Source organism: Homo sapiens, chromosome 20 (genome assembly GCF_000001405.40).
Source record: "Homo sapiens chromosome 20, GRCh38.p14 Primary Assembly".
NCBI lineage: Eukaryota > Metazoa > Chordata > Mammalia > Primates > Hominidae > Homo > Homo sapiens.
The window spans coordinates 5,853,855-5,871,765 of NC_000020.11; the positions used below are offsets into that span (position 1 = coordinate 5,853,855).

At 43.0% G+C, this 17,911-nt stretch overlaps 1 protein-coding gene across 5 annotated transcripts in view; it reads left to right on the forward strand.

The window, feature by feature from the left end:
- Positions 1–10,541, forward strand: part of SHLD1 (shieldin complex subunit 1) — a 114,203-nt gene extending 103,662 nt beyond the window's left edge. For all 5 annotated transcript variants that reach the window (XM_011529177.3, XM_047439931.1, NM_001303477.2 and 2 more), the window contains one exon: positions 9,170–10,541. In XM_011529177.3, the coding sequence (XP_011527479.1) occupies positions 9,170–9,609 (440 nt within the window). In that variant the 3' untranslated portion in view covers positions 9,610–10,541. The remainder of the gene's footprint in view (positions 1–9,169) is intronic.
- The last annotated feature ends 7,370 nt before the right edge of the window (positions 10,542–17,911 follow it).

Consider the following 17,911-nt stretch of genomic DNA (forward strand, 5'->3'; position numbering starts at 1 on the left):
TTTGGAGATAGGGTCTGGCTCTGTCGCCTAGGCTGGAGTGCATGATGTGACCACTGCTCACTGCAGCCTCCACCTCCTAGCCTCAAGCAATCTTCCTGCCTTAGCCTCCCGAGTAGCTGGGACTATAGGCATTCACTGCCATGCTCAGCTAATTTTTTTTTTTTTTTTTAGACAGAGTTTTGCTCTTGTTGCCCAGGCTGGAGTGCAATGGTGTGATCTCAGCTCACTGCAACCTCCACCTCCCGGGTTCAAGCAATTCTCCTGCCTCAGCCTCCCAAGAAGCTGAGATTACAGGCATGTTCTACCATGCCCAGCTAATTTTTGTATTTGTAGTACAGATGGGGTTTCACCATGTTGGTCAGGCTTGTGTCAAACTCCTGACTTCCAGTGATCTGCCCACCTCGGCCTCCCAAAGTGCTAGGATTACAGGCGTGAGCCACCACACCCGGCCTTATGTTTTTTGGTATTTTTTTGGTAGAGACAGGGTTTCGCCATGTTGCCCAAGCTTGTCTCAAACTCCTGAACTCACGTGATTTGTCCGCGTTGGCCTCCCAAAGTTCTGGGATTACAGGTGTGAGCCACAGCGCCCAGCCTCCACTTCTGCTATGATAAAATTGTGTTCCTTGGTAGAAGCATTCCTCCTTAAGTTACTAAGGCTTCTAAACTAGCAGAACACAGAAACCCAAGAAAGGCAATCAAGCTATGAGTGGGACTTTAGATATTAGCTTTGTAAGAAACGTAAGGCAGGGAAGGGAGATAGCGACAGCCAAGACTCAGGGGAGTGGGAGAAATGTAATTTTTAAAAAATATGATAAAATGCACATAACATGAAGTCTTAATCATTTTGAAGCATATAGTTCTGTAGTATTAAGTTCATTTGTATTGTTGTCAACCAGTCTCCAGAACTCATCATGTAAAACTGAAACTCTGTACCCATTAAACACTAAATCTGCATTTTCACCTTTTCCCTCTCCCCAGCTTCTGGTAACCACCATTCTGTTTTCTGTCTCTATGACTCTTTTTTTTTTTTAAGAGACAGGTCTTGTGCAGTCACCCAGGCTGGAGTCCAGTGGCAGTGGCGTGATCACAGTCCATTGCTGCCTTGATCTCCTGGACTCAAGTGATCCTCCCACCTCAGCCTCCCAAGTAGCCGGGACTACAGGCATGAACCACCATGGCCGGCTAAATTTTTAATTTTTTTTTTGTAGAGGCAGGGTCTTGCTATGTTGCCTAGGTTGGTCTCAAACTCCTGGCTTCAAGTGATCCTCCTGCCTTGGCCTCCTAAAGTGCTGGGATTACAGGTGTGAGCCATAGCACCCAACCCTGTCTCTATAAATCTGACCACTTTAGGTACCTCATCTAAGTGGAATCATACAGTATTTTTCCTATTGTGGCTGGCTTATTTCACTTAGCATAATGTCCTCAGGGTTCGTTCATGTTGTAGCGTGTGTCACAGTGTCCTTTCTTTTTAAGGCTGAATAATATTTCATTGTGTGCACATACTAACACATTTTGTTTTATTTTGTTTTATTTTTGAGACAGAGTCTCGCTCTGTCACCTAGACTGGAGTACAGTGGGATGATCTTGGCTCATGGCAACCTCCACCTCCCGCGTTCAAGAGATTCTTGTGCCTCAGCCACCCGAGTAGCTGGGACTACAGGTGCATGTCACCACGCCTGGCTAATTTTTGTATTTTTAGTAGATACAGGGTTTCATCATGTTGCCCAGGCTGGTCTTGAACTCCTGGGCTCAAGAGATCCACTTTCCTTGGCCCCCCAAAGTGCTGGGATTATAGACATGAGCCGCCGCACCTGGCCTGCCAACCACATTTTATTTATCCATTTATCTGTTGATAGCTGGGTTGCTTCTAACTCTTGGCTAATGTGAATATGAGAAATGCAATTTGAAATAGTGTGCCCAGGAAATGTATGGTAAACTGAATTATTGTTCACCAATATTCTCTGCCTCTCCCTACAGGATATTCTTTCATCCTCATCCTTTTGAAATCAGGCTTGGCCATATGACTTCACGTTAGCCAGTGAAATATGAACAGAAGTAATAGAGCTGTCCCAGTCACTGCTGATTTCCCCATACTCTTTTTCCTCTGCTATAGTCACTAGGCAATGTTGAGATAGTAGCTGCTCTGTTGGTCTGGGTTCTGGAGTGAGGGTGAGGATGAACAGATCTACTTGTATATGTGTATACTTGTAGTATGACACAGATCTCTGGGTAATGAGAATTAACCCTTTGCTGTTTCATGCCCTGGATATTTGGGGCTTGCTTGTTAGGCAGCATAACCTGGCCCATTCTGACTGAGAAGGCCTCACTGATTAACGTCTGAGCAGAGACCTAGAGGACGTGATATGTGGAGCAAGCATGTTCGATGGCAGAGCAACAGCAAGTGCAAAGATTCTAAAGAGAAGTTTGTTTCAAGGCTCAGGAAAGAAGCCAGATTTATGAAGGAGGCAGTGAAACAGACAGAGTGGTAGGTGCTAGTCAGACTCTCATGCAGCCCATAGGGCTGGGCTGGAGGTGGGACTGAATCTTGTTCACCCAATGATTCTGTTCCCTCCTCCTTTCCTCCATGGAGCATGGAATGGGTGGCAGTAGTGAGGGGGTAGAAGAAGGAATGAAGGAGAAAAAAGTGAGGCGTGGAGCAGGAAGATGCAGACTAGCCCAGATCCATGGCCCATGGCCCCTCATATACTAAAAATGATAGTATCACACATGGAGGCACCTTATCCAGGGCATGGTGAGGCTTCTGAAGTCTGACTTCTGTCATAAGATGAATAGTGCATCAAGAGTTGCTGATAAGTGATCATTGATGACCGGAACATCCCCCACTACTCCCTGGTTCACCTTGTCATTTTCATGCCTGTGACTTTAAAAAAAATTTTCTTTTAATTTTATTTTTTAATTGGAAGAAGCATTTTATATTTGCAGTTCAACTGATAATGCCAACACTTGTTACTGTACAGCACATTACAGGATTTGTGGTTGCAAAAAGTTACGTAATTTAAGTTTACTGGTATTGCTACTCACCTAAGTCTAAACTAAATCTTATGTTCCCATTTGCAATTTAATTTGTAAATTAAAGGTTTTGTTTGTTTGTTTTTGTTTCTATTTTGTTTTGTTTTGTTTTGTTGAAACAGAGTCTCACTCTGTCGCCCAGGCTGGAGTGCAGTGGTGCAATCTCGGCTCACTGCAACCTCTGCCTCCCGGGTTCAAGTGATTCTCTTGCCTCCCGAGTAGCTGGGACTGCAGGTGCCCACCACCATGCCCAGCCAATTTTTGTGTTTTTAGTAGAGACGGGGTTTCGCCATGTTGGCCAGGCTGGTCTCTAACTCCTGAGCTCAGGTGATCCACCCGCCTTGGCCTCCCAAGGTGCTGAGCCACCACACCCGGCCAAATTAAAATGTTTTAAACATATAAGTCCATTATGAACATTAGTTTAAAAGGGGACCCATGACTATTTTTAGAGCCACACAAGCCCAGGGAGCCTCCAACAGACCAACCAAGGAAGCGGGGCCTGGGAACTTAGGAGTGTGCCATGCAGGGCCCTGAAAAAGGGACAGCTTCCCATCCAAGCAGCATAGAAGGAAACCTAATAAGCCACATACTCCTTCTTTCCTTAAATCCTGATACTTTTTCATTTTTAAAAACTTAAGTCTTGGTCAGGTGCTGTGTCTCACACCTATAATCTCAGCACTTTGGGAGGCCGAGGCGGGCAGATTACTTGAGCTAAGGAGTTTGAGATCAGCCTGGGCAACGTGGTGAAACCCCGTCTCTACAAAAAATAGAAAAAAGTTAGCCGGACCTGGTGGCATGCACCTGTAGACCCAGCTACTCAGGACTGAGGTGGGAGGATCGCCTGAGCCCAGAAGGTGGGCTCAGGCAGTGAGCTGTGTTGCGCCATGGCACTCCAACCTGGGGACAACAGAGCAAAACCCTGTCTAAAAAAAAAACCAGGTGCCCTGGCTCACGCCTGTAATTCTAACACTTTGGGAGGCCAAGGCAGGTGGATCACGAGGTCAGGAGATCGAGACCATCCCGGCTAACACGGTGAAACCCCGTCTCTACTGAAAATACAAAAAATTAGCCGGGCATGGTGGCGGGTGCCTGTAGTGCCAGCTAGCCAGGAGGCTGAGGCAGGAGAATCACTTGAACCCCGGAGGCAGAGGTTGCAGTGAGCCAAGATCGCGCCACTGCACTCCAGCCTGGGCGACAGAGTGAGACTCCATCTCAAAAAAAAAAAAAAAAAAGTCTTAGATTTCTTTCAGCTCTGTAACCTCCTTGAAACCATACATAGGTCCTCTTAATCAGCAATTGCTAGTAAAAGAAACTCTGGACAATCAAGCAGGGTGGGTGGGTGGCTATTGATTCAGATGCATGCAGAAGGCAGAATTCTAAATATCAAATCTATTTAGTAGAAACTTGTTACAGTTGAAGGCAAAAATGTTTCACGGAGATGAAACCCTGCTGTGCATTTATGAACCACAGAAATAGCCATGGAAAGTTCTCTGGAAGAATCCCTCATTAGATATCTGGGTTTCTAAAGGCTAATGGCATCTCTTGCAGAACACAACTATTAATCTCAAGTGCTCCATGCCAGTTGACTGTCTTCTGAATTCAAATAAGCACCTACAACTCCTAAATATATAAAAATATTTTTAGGTGTATAACAATCTCAAGTATCAGGCTGAGCGTGGTGGCTCATGCCTATAATCCTAGCACTTTGGAAGGCCAAGGTGAGCAAATCACTTGAGGCCAGGAGTTCGAGACCAGCCTGGCCAACATGGCAAAACCCCATCTCTACCAAAAATACAAAAAATTAGCCAGGCATGGTGGCACACACCTGTGGTCCCAGCTACTCGGGTGGCTGAGGTGAGAGGATCATTTGAGCCCAGGAGGTGGAGGCTGCAGTGAGTTGAGATCATGCCACTGCACTCCAGCTTGGGTGACAGAGTAAGACTTCACCTCAAAAGGAATCTGAAGTATCTATATGTTATCTCTTTTCTTGTTGGCAAAGAGAAAATTTAACAATTGGATGCATGCAAAAGCATTGTGATATCAAGCCCTGCCCTCCTCCTTTTCTTCTTGTAAATTTCTAAAGAAATCCTATTCATGATGGAAAATATATAAAAAGGCAAGTTCCATTCAATTTAAATAATACCAGAATCACTGGGACCAGGGCCAATGGTTTTCCCCCTCAACCATTGTTGTGGGGTAAAAAAGCCATCTCATGGTCTGAGAAGGGAAAATGTGTAACTCGAATAGGTACCAGCAAGAAGGGTGCTGTGCAGGGAATGGGGACCAACAGCAAAAGTCTCTTAGGGAGCTCAAGGCAAATCAACATATTACAGTGCAGCGGGAGTCAACATTGAGTTCCCACTCCTTTCAAGATCCATCCTTTGACCCAGGGGAGGGGTGAGGGGCAGGGGGACATTATTGGTATTTGGGAGATGGACCATTCTTTGTTTGTCCTGTGCACTGTAGAATGTTTACATCCTTGACCCCACTCACTAAATGCAAGTAGCACTTTGCAATCCCTGACACAAAAACATCCCTAGACTCTCCCTGAAGACGTTGCTATCCCCCTTTGACAGCTCTACAAGGTTGGAATATACCAACAGAGAGAATAAGGTGGGGTTTGAACGTAACTGGGAGGATGCATCACTGAGCACGAACTGACTAGTACCATCATTCTTTCCACACATGGACACATCAGGAAAGGAAAAGCAATTAGCTACATTTGCTGGCAAAGAAATGGTGACATCCAAAAGCTACAACAGCCTTATGATTAGAGAGGAGGCTTTATAGTTGGTAGTAAAGCAAATTTTAAAAGGAAATCAAAAACTGAAATGGACTGCAGGCAGCATTCAAAATAACTGACATAGTAAATGACTCAACCCGTATGTCATTGGTCTTCTGAAGGGGAAGGGTTGTTTCTCTGAAGACGACTGGCAGACTGCCTGACATGTGCATGAAAAGTATAGGAGACAGCTAGCTTTTAGCCTCTTTTGTGGACACTGGATTTCAAAATTTTTAAATTAAATGAAACACAGATGAAAATTTTAAATCCTGCATATCAAAGCACATTGACAATTTACTTACCAAGTACGTGCCATGTTGCTTGGCGTTTTCTATTGTACGTGGACAGTTTTGAGGGTTCAACTTTCCCAGTGTTGTTGGTGGGCATCCCCCGCTCTCTCCCACCCACCCCATTGGCCCTTCCCAGCTTCTGTCTTCCAGCCACCACCTCCCAACCCCTACCCAGGACAAGGTCATCTGCGGGTAAGAAGGTAGGAAGGGACCCTTCATCCTGCCATCACGGGACCCCATTCCCTCTCCTTCTCCCTTCAGCTTTCTAACAGCAGCATCATTTGTTAGGCAATTACCCAAGCTAAGGCTTCTTATTTGGTTGCTTGATATTAAAGTAGGCCAGCAAAGGAAGTTTTTACATCTATCCCCCCAGAGGTTTGTTTTAATTTTTTTACAACAATTTTTTAAAACAAAGAGCCCTTTTTTATGAATTATTTGAGATTTGCTCACAAAAAATCAGGCCACCAATCCTGATTTTTCTACAAACAAGGACATTCTCTTCTAAAACAATAAAATCATCAAAATCAAGAAATTAACAGTGATGCATTACTACCATCTAATCCTCAGACCCCATTCACAGCTCTCCAGTTGCCCCAGTAATGTGCTTTACAATGAAAAGATGAAGTTTAAAAAAAGTTTTTTTTTGCATTTGGCTGTCATGGCTGTTTTAGCCTCCTTCATTCTGGGACAGTAGCTCAGTCCTTCCTTGGTTTTCACAAACCTGGCACTTCTGAAGAGTACAGGCCAAGAACTCCTCTCCTGCTGCTTCTATGCCATCAGAACAAGAAAGAGACCAGCATCTGTCTCCCTCCCCTTCCACCCATCCTGGAGGCTTCAGTCCAGTGATAGTGTTCTTGGGAAGAACTTGGGTAAAAGCTCTGGGCATAGCAAGGTCAAGGAAAGTTTCTTTACTATTCTTTAAAAAAAAAAAAAAAAAAAAAAAAAAAAAAAAAAAGACGGGCCTGGGACATAGCTTTAAGCTTTCTGGAAACTAGTGTAGTGGAAATACCATCCCTGCTATCGAATTTTTTACAAAGCGTGTTCTCTGTTTTGGGTGCCCCCTGGCCATTCTGAGTTCTCTCTCTCCTTGAGCCTCCAGGCTGGGTCTCAGGCTGCTGAAGAAAGGCCAGTTGGCAGAGGAGGAGAACTGGAACCAGCCAAGGAGACATTTAGTTTCTATTTCTTCTTGCCACTGGCCTTTTGTTCATCAACTCTGCTTCTCCATTGCGTGGTCCTTTCAGAATAAGATTGCAGGTCACCTCCTCTGAAGAGGGAGCATGCACTCATTCTGCTACCCTGGCACTGCATGTTTCCACAGAGTCCACAGTGTCCCAGTTAATGTCACTACATCATTTCATATCTATGTACATCCTGTGACTATATTTCAGTTGTTTAATGTCTGTAACGATGTCTCTTCTTCCTACTTAGATTCCAAGTACCTCAGATGAGGGACATGATCTTCAGCATCCATCTGTCTATCTTCAACAACTTGTAATGAGTTGCCTTAATATCAGCTTTCTATAAATAAGTGTTGAATGGATGAATGCTTGTCCATGTGTAGGCCTGCGTGTGACTCAAAGAACACATGTCCATATTCTTTTAGAATGTGCTGATAACTTCCGGATAATCTATTTCTCTGATCTTTACATTACCATAGACATTCTAGAAGAGAGATTGTTTAGTAAAACCCTCATTTTAAAGTTGAGAAAGTTGAAGCCCAGAAAGGTTGTATGACTTGTCCAAGATGTCATTTCCAGCTAGTAGCAAAACTAGGGCCCAAACCAAAATCCTACCTCCTTTCCTAAAGCTCCACCCACTGTACCATGCACCTTACTTCAGCATTGGCAAGTACAGATATGTTTATTGTAGCTACTGATTGAGTTCGTAGGGGCAGGGAAATGTCAAAGCTAGTGATTTATAAAAGCTTATATCAGGGTCAGGCGTGGAGGTCCAAGAGCAGGGTGCCTGCCTGGTCAGCTTCTGGTGAGGGCTCCTTTCCTGGCTTGTAGACAGCCGCCTTCTCACTGTGTGCTCACATGGCTTTTCCTTAGTGCTTGCAAAGAGAAAGAAAAAAGAGATCTCCTTTTCTCTTCCTCCTCTTATAAGGATCCTTTCAGATTAGGATTCTACCTATAGACCTCATTTAACTTTAATTACCTCCTAAAAAGCCCTCTCTCCAAATATAGTCATGTTGGGGGTTACAGCTTCAACACGTGAATTTTTTGCGGACACAATTCAGTCCATAGCATAGTGATAGCGTAAAAATTTAAAACACCTTCAACATACTATAATATGATATGAAAATAGTTGTTGTAGTGTGTAGTGGGTCCCCCACCAGGTGACTTAAGAGTGTATGTCTGCTGCTTGAACCCTGAAGGCTGAGCAGTGAGCCAAGGCCATGGTGCCCAGCTGAGGAGTAGGTGTCCTTGAGAACCCAGACATCCCGGAGAGAATCTGAGAACCTACCAAGGAAAACAGTCCCATCGTGCACACGCACGGATCTCTAGAGCTATCCTGCTGCCATCCAGGAGTGCCCTGTTATAAGCCCTAATAAACTCAACTACTCATCAAGCTGGACTTGTCCAAGTTATTCTTTGGTCTTTCAGCACCTTCCCAGTTTGGGGGTGGGTACTACAGTCCCAAGTTTTTCCTGTAACAGCTGAGATCTATTGGTGACAAAGTTACAGGTACTGCTATTAATACTGTGGTTTGCTGCCTACATTCATCATGGGAGGAAATGCTTAATTTCAGGTTGTGGTTAGTGAAAATAAATAAATATATATGTATATTTTTTACATCCAAGTTCACAGGCACCCTGAATTTCTATACAGGGACATCGGGCTAAGAATCCTTGGTCCACACAAGTAATATGTTCTCGTTGTGAGCAAGCAAGTGGCATAACCTCAGGATGGTGAGAACAGATTTTGAAATCAGCTGATATTTCCCATTGCCAGTTACTCAGGAACAGTAAGCATGTTGAACTGAAAATAGACATCATCTGCTCTTGGCTTGCTTTCTGATATTTTTGATTGTGTGTTTGAGTATTGGAATACGTTTTGTCTTGCAGACACCAGTAACTTAAATATAGAACAAAATAACTCCTGGACCGCTGAGAACTTCTGGCTTGACCCTGCTGTGAAAGGCCAGTCAGAGAAGGAAGAGGATGATGGCCTTCGGAAATCCCTGGATAGATTCTATGAAATGTTTGGTCATCCACAGCCAGGCTCTGCAAACTCACTCTCTGCATCTGTCTGCAAGTGCCTGTCTCAGAAAATCACTCAACTAAGAGGCCAGGAGAGCCAAAAGTATGCCCTCCGCAGTTTTCAAATGGCCCGGGTGATCTTCAACCGGGACGGCTGCTCCGTCTTACAGAGGCATTCCAGGGACACCCACTTCTACCCACTGGAGGAAGGAAGTACATCTTTGGATGATGAAAAGCCAAACCCAGGACTGTCAAAGGATATTACTCATTTCCTCTTGCAGCAGAATGTAATGAAAGACCTGTAACTGGTGCCGGGCAGTGTGCAGGGTAGTAATGGAGGTGCTGTGCCATGACCAGCAGTGTTGGTGGCCACCCAGATCCCCTAGGGTCTCTGGCCAGCTCTGTGTGCCCAATCCCAATTAAGTGCTTTGAGGTTAAAGGCTGGCACCTGTGACCTGGTATTGGAGCCAGTCAGCCCATATGGAGAGCCAGCAGGGTCTGGGAGTTCTCCGTCCTCTTGGCCAAGGCCGCTGACTGACTGGGCTACGAGTCAAAAGCCCAGCTCCCTTGCCTCAAGGAAGGACATTCTCTGAGGAGTAATTTATGCTCTAGCACTCCCTTTCCTCTAGATCGGCCTGAGGCTGGGACATTACATGAAATCACACCCTTGCTGGGCTTAATCCCTTTCCCTACCCTCCCATTTATTTACTGGTGTCTCTGGGAGCCTTTCCTTAATAAACCTCTTATATCTGAATCCTTGACTCAGAGTCTACTTCTGGGAGAATTCACCCTGAGAGAACATGCTTCTGTGAGATGAGGTTTTAGAAGGATACAAAGCTCTACACCGAATCAGGTATAAGGAATTATATCAAGTTGTAAAACTGAGACCATGTCATTGAGAATACATGTCCTAAAATAATATAAAGATTGAAATACAGTTGAGAAAAGTATATCACATCTTGATCACACCCTTGCCTCCTCTCCAAAGCTAGAAATCCATGTTTTATCATACTAACTGGGTGTGGAAGGAACATTTGGACAATCTAAAATAACAGCGAAAATTCACAATTCTTTTTAAAATCTCTTGTCTTTTATCAGATTGCAAACGTGAAAGGTGAGAAGGTAACAAATGTGCACCACCCACCACAGTATATGTAAGCACAATTATGCTACGCTAGGCTGATGCCACGTGGCCTTGTCAAGTTGTGTTTGAAGAGAATAAATAATCCTTTGCCCAGGTGGGGCCCTACTTTCTCTTGTCTTCTGCCTGCCTGCACCCTCTGTCACCTTGTGAACGCTTGGCCCCTCACCCCTGCCCTGTCCTTGCCTCCAACACCCTGAGCTCCATTTGCAAAGGCTTGCCCAGAGCAGGACTTCTTGGCCACCTTGTCCCTGTCCTCCAGGCATGAGCCCTTCCTCACCAGGGAGCTCTTTAAATAGCCAGTGCAGGTTTGCACTGGCAGATGCTCCGCTCTGCGGGTCGTGTCCTGAACCCCCATTTGAGACTCAGTTGGTAGAATTACATCACCTGGCACCGGGATCTCAAGCTGCAATTGGAAGCCTCATGCTAATCCCTATCGCAGCAGTGCTTTCAACAAATTGCATTGGCAGAAAGGGTTATATTGCCTTTGGGTTGGGGGGAACAACAAAAGAAGCTGGCAGCCCTGAGCAACTAGATTTTGAGACACTTGAGGTGAAATTTAATTGGCCTAAGATTCCAAAAGCTTTCCAGAAAGCGGATTATGCAAACGGGTCAGCCTTAAAGTATACATTGAGAGTGAGTGTGCCATCTCAGGAAGGTATCCCAGGGACTCTTGGATGGAGAGAGAAGCCTTTTAAAGGTTAGGAATGACACACTCACACTCAGGCTTCCAGTGCTGGGGAGATTAGGTGTAAGAAACAGTGTTCCAGATTGAAGTGTAGAGGCACCTCCTGGAAGGAGACCCAGATGATAGAAATAGGAAATGAACAGGTCCTTGAGAGACACTGGAGAAAACAAGACTTCAGGTTTTCCTCTGACAAGCAATCGTCTGCTTCTTTCTCCATGGGCGTTTCCTATTCAACTGGCCCCCAAATAATCGTGAAGCCAGGGGGACTTATAATTGAAAACCTGGCAATTAAATTTTAAGGTAGCTAGCTTTATTGTTTTTTTAATGAGAGGCATATTAATAGATGTCCTTGAAGAACGCTATCATTTTTAGTATGACTCAGTCACTGCAATGTTTGCGGTTCGTCTCCATGGCTACCCACAGAAGGAAACTGGATTATTTTATGTTGTTTTTAAAAGGACAAAAAATACGAGTTATTTGAATCTTCATGTTGGAAAGCAGCAGCTTCTATTTGGCAATGAGATTTTAGTGTCAAACATTTCATAACCTTTATTTAAATATGTGTGCCAAGAGTGCCCGGTGAGAGGATAGCCCAAAAGTAGAGAGTTTAGAAGTCTCAAAGTCAGAATCACCTCAGGTTTAAAAAGAGTGTGGTGTGTGTTTACTTGCATCTGAATAAGTGTTTGTGACAGGTCAATACAAGATATTTGATTCCCTGCAAACTCACTGCTTAATTTGATCTCTGTGAGGTTAGGATGGCATTTTCCATTTATCTCTGTGAATCTTTAATAAAGGCTAACAGATAAGGATATTGAGGCTTTGGCCTTTGGCATTATTGTCTAATTCTGCCCCACAGATAAATTCACCAACATTATACCATCTCATGCATGTTATGACTGGCCTGTGATATCATCTGTGGCTCTTTTCAGGTCTTTGTGAGACATCAGAACTAAGAGCGCAGAAACATCACAACCCTTAAGAAGAGAACTCCTACCGATGTCTTAAATTCATGTGCTATTACTCATTTCATTAGTCTATTTCTTTGCATAACCTATGTAAAGGCCCATGTAACAGATCTTATTACCAGTAATTAGCACAAAACAATAGAGCCATGCTTTTTTATTTTAAAATAATTTATTTGAAAAAATAGAGATGGGATCTTGCTGTGTTGGCCAGGTTGATCTTGAACTCTTGACCTCAAGCAATCCTCCCACATCAGCCTCCCAAAGTGCTAGGATTACATGTGTGAGCCACTGTGCCCGGCCAGCTTTTTAAACTTTTTAAAGCTTTTAACACTTTTTATTGGATAATAATGATTACACAGAAACATACATATATCATACAAGTGAACACCTTGATGATTTTCACAAACACCCTGCCTGTGTAGCCAGCATCCTGATCAAGCAACAGATATTACCCACCAGCCCAGGCCCCCTTTTAAGTAGAGAACCGATGAGAACAGTTTGCTGTGACCAGTGTTTCTCAAACTGCTAGTAGCACAAATAATTTTAGATACTACATGGAAAAACAATGTTTATTTTAATTGGTAATCTATTCAGTTTAATATGTTAGAAAAATAGAACTACCACATCTAGTCCATGCTTTCAGATGTATTGCATAGGACAAGCCTAATATTAGTATTTGAAATTTAAAACTGGACTGAATTAATTTAAAAATTAATAATAGTGCAGGTAACATATATGTCCAAATGTATAAAAGTGGTATACCTGAAAATGACTAAGGTTTGGAATTCAGTGGTGTATTAATCTGTTCTTATGCTGCTTATAAAGACATACCCAAGACTGGGTAATTTATGCAGGAAAGATGTTTAATTGACTCACAATTCCACATGGCTGAGGAGGCCTCACAATCATGGCCGAAAACAAATGAGAAGCAAAGTCACGTCTTACATGGCGGCAGGCAAGAGAGCTTGTGTAGGAACTCCCCTTTATAAACCCATCAGATCTTGCAAGACTTATTTAACACTATCATGAGAACAGCATGAGAAAGACCCACCCCCATGATTCAATTACCTCCCACCTGGTTCCTCCCATGACACATGGGAATTATGGGAGCTACAATTCAAGATGAGATTTGAGTGGATACACAGCCAAACCACATCAAGTGGGATAGGTGATCCATCATATCCCATTAGTGTCCCACCATTGCTCTTCTGGAATACTGCAAGAAACTTCCATCTGGTCAATCCATATGTACCTTTGCCTCTCTTTACCCTGCAGCCACAATGCAAATTCTTTTAAAAAGCTAAACATGCATGAATAGCCAAAAAATTTAAAAGAAGGAACTAGCCTTCTCAAATGTGAAAACATTTTTAATTCTATAGTAATTAAAGCAGCAAAAAAGGCATAGACAAAAGAAAAGAGTACAGTCCATAAATAGATATAAATGCCTATGGAAATTGAGTATATGGCGAAGGTGGCATTGCAAACCCATAAGGGAAAGGTGGAGGTTTTAGCAACTGCTCTTATTCACTGGCTCCCCACACTGGGGGAGGGAGAGTGAAAAAGGCTGGATTCCCCATCTTATTTCTCATATCAAAATGAATATTAGATGGATTAAACACTCAAAAAAATAAAATAACAAAAATGCTAGAATAAAACACAGGTGATATGGATACCTAAATAGAGATATCTATATAGAGATATATTGGAACAGGGAAGATTTTTCTAAGACTGACACAAAACCTAAAAACCATAAAGGACAAATTTGATAAAAATAACTGCCTAGCCATACGCAAGATCAGAACTAGGAAAAATACTTAGAACACGTCTAACAGAGGAACTTTTTCAAGAAACAAGTTGTACAAATTATTAGAAAAACAACCGAATGGAAGCATTGACAAAAGACATGAACAGGTGGTTAAGAATATATATAGAATATATATATATATGTAAAATGATCATGAAATCACGTGCCACTACACTCAAACATAAGGAACTACAACTTTGAACACCAATGAGATATTCTTTGTTTTTGCGTTTTGTTTCTTGATTCTTACATTTTGTAGGGCTGTAAAAAGTTAAAAGGAATCTAGTGCTGGCCACGATGCGGAGAGAAAAATGCTCCGATTGACTCTCAGTGGGAATGTAAATTGCTATAGCTTTTCTCAGTAGAATATGGCAACCTCTATCAAAATTATAAAAGGATTTTTTTTTTTTTTTTGAGATGGAGTTTCGTTCTGTCGCCCAGGCTGGAGTGCAGTGGCGCAATCTTGGCTTACTGCAACCTCCACCTCCCAGGTTCAAGTGATTTTCCTGCCTCAGCATCCTGAGTAGCTGGGATTACAGGTGCCCACCACCATGCCCAGCTGATTTTTTGTAGTTTTAGTAGAGATGGGGTTTCCCCATGTTGGCCAGGCTGGTCTCGAACTCCCGACCTCAGGTGATCCACCCGCCTCTGCCTCCCAAAGTGCTAGGATTACAGGCGTGAGCCACTGCACCTGGCCTAGAGGATATCTTTGACTCAGTAATTCATCCTACTGAATTCCAAGCTTTAGTCATTTTTGGGTACACCACTTTTATACTTTTTTACTTACCTGTATGTCACATGCACTATTATAAATTTAATTTTGTTCATTTAATCCACTTTTAAATTGTAAATATTTATATAGGCTTGTGCTATGTAATCTATGGGAAAGCACAGATTAGATGTAGTCATCCCAGGACTGCGACCAAATCTCCACTACAGCTAGGGCCGCAGCAGTGAACCAGACCTGGAAGATCTCCTGCTAGTGAGGGGTGATGGACAAAAGCAAGTCCATTTCAAATAGTGAGAAGCACCCTGGGATAATAAAGAATGACATGGTAGTGCCTGGGGTGGCCACTCTGGACAGACTGGTGTGAGGAAGACTCTGAAGAAGTGGCATTTGAGCTTTCAGCTGCAGGAGTCACAGGGCCAGGCAGACAATGGCTGGAGCATCCAGTCAGAGGGAACAATATGTGCAAAGTTAGTGCAAACTCAGCCTGGGATGAGCTGAAGTGTCTGGATAGAGGGAGTCCCATGTGGCTGGAGGACAACCCTCAGAGGCAGAGGGGTAGATGAATTTCAGAAGCAGGCTATGGTTTTTTAGGCCAAGGGAAGGAATTTGAATTTTATTCTAAGAACAATGTGAAGTGATTTAAGGATTTTAAGCAAGAGAATAAGATAGGTGTTCAAATTTATGGAAATTTATGGCTAACATTTTTAAGTGCTGGTAAAGGATGAATTACCTAAATATCCAATAAATGGTGAGATCCCTACCTCACATTATACACAGAGAAAAAACTTCAGATGGATTAAGGATCTAAATGTAAAAAATAACACTATAAGAGTTACAGATGACAATATACCTAAGTGTTTTTACAGTCCTGCATGAGAAAGGCCTTCCTAAAACCGATAGCAATGCGAAATAATAAAAGATTGACAGTTTTTTGTTTTTTGAGACAGAGTTTCACTCTTGCTGCCCAGGCTGGAGTGCAGTGGCAAGATCTCAGCTCACTGCAACTTCTGCCTCCCGGGTTCAATTGAGTCTCCTGTCTCAGCCTCCTGAGTAGCCGGGATTACAGGCGCATACCACCACATCTGGCTAATTTTTGCATTTTTTGTTTTTTTTTTTTAAGTAGAGACAGGGTTTCATCATATTGGTCAGGCTGGTTTTGAACTCCTGACCTCAGGTGATCCACCCGCCTCGGCCTCCCAACGTGCTGGGGTTACACAAGTGTGAGCCACCGTGCCTGATTAACAGTTTTAACTACATAAAAATTTTAAACTTATTTTTTTAAATAGATCAGGGTCTCACGGTGTTGCTCAGGCTGGTCTTGAACTCCTGGACTCAAGTGATTCTCCTGCCTCAGCCTCCCAAGTGTTGGGATTATAGGTCTGAGCCACTGCACCTGGCCAAATTTAAAATTTAGAGTGAAAGATATCATAAATATGTGATAAAAGCATTGTGGTTTTGTGAGAAAATATCCTTATTTCTTAGAAATATATATTGAAATATTTAAACTAAAATATCTTAACATCTGTAAATTACTTTAAATATATTTCAACAGAAACAAGATAAAGCAGATATGACAAAATGTTAACAAGTTATCACATCCAGATGATGAGTATATGAAGGTTCACTATTCTTTCCACTTTTCTATGTATGAAATTTTCAAACTATTTATTTAGAGACAAGGTCTCACTCTGTTACCCAGACTGGAGTGCAGTGGCGTGATCATAGCTCACTACAGCCTTGATCTCAGGTCCAAGCAATCCTCCTGCCTCAGCCTCCCAAGTAGCTGGGACCACAAGTGCATGCTACCACGCCCTGCTAATTTTTTTTTTTTTTTTTTTTTTTTTTTTTTTTAGAGAGAGAGAGAGAGATAGGGTCTGCTTTGTTGCCTTGGCTGGTCTTGAACTCCTGGTCTCAAAAGTAATCTTCCTGCTTTGGTCTCCCACAGTGCTGGGATTATAGGCATATGCAATTTGTCTCAAAATACTTGTTTATTCCTTTTCCCCTCTCAATTCTCATTCTGTCAGGTCACTTCACAGTACATGGCTCTCTCTCACTTTGCTTTCTTTCTCTAGTGGAAAATCACCCTCCCTGTGTATCTGAGAACTCAGTCCTCATGAGCAAGGTCACAGTCAGAGAAAGAACATATTAAGGCCATCTGAATGATGGCCCCTTTGGGATAGATGATTCTCTCTGCAAATATGCTTGTGGACCAGACCAGGCCTGTTTGCTTGTTTAACACCCGAAGGCCTTATTCTCTCATTGCCTTTTTCTTAAATCCCCGAAAGCTGTGCATCAGAGATAGCAGTTTTACCAGCAACCGAACCAAGAGTTCTCCAAATCCTCCCAAGTGAATCCTTTCCATCTGCTGTCTCAGTAGGCAGTGCACTGACGAAGGCACACAGTTTAGCATTCCTGCTCTCTTTGTTATTTTCTCCTCTTCCTTCAGCATTTGCAGCTGAATGTCAGATGCCTTAAGCACATATTATTTCACCAGGATGTAATTAATGTGTATTCAAACTGTGGGACTTTTCTGGTTGCCCTTACAAGCTCCTCCTGGGATCCTGATTAATTATTGTTACATTGTTTCTCTAGAAGGCATGAGGACCATTAGGATGTCAGGTGCGCAATTGTCCGTTGCTCTAGTTAGAATCCCGGTATGCAAAAATGTCTAACCCTGCCCTGATTTTCACATTATTTTCCCACTATCTCATATCCTCAAGCCCTCTCCTTTTTCCTCTCTCTTTTTCACCATATATTTAAAGGTCTTCATTATTTTAAGAAAATTGTGCACACACACATATTCATGCACTTTTAAAAACTTGATTTAATCATGGTTTACTTCTGTTCAGCTTTTCCTCTCCCCTTTGGTACCATCTTCTAGACCCACAACCAAAACACAAGAAGCTGCTGGAATTTGGAAGACCTAGGTTGGGAACCCCTGGCTTAAACCAACAAGCATGTGGTAAAAATCCTGAGGCAACTTCCAGTTTCAGGAGAAGATGTTATAGACTTACTTTTTCTGGCTTCTTGTTAAACACAACCAAGTACCACGGAAAGAATTCAGCAATCATAAAAGGACTCTGAATGGCAGAAAGAAGATGGATGGACTAGGGACTCAGGACTTGAAGAATAACCCAACAGTTGGTTTTCTGGATTTTCTTTATCTTCCATATATCCTGGACACCAGCCAGCCTGAAACCACAGACAGGCATAGGAGAGAGAAAGAGAGGGAAGGGAGGGGAGGGAAGGGGGAAGAAGGGGGAAGGGGGAAGAAGGGGG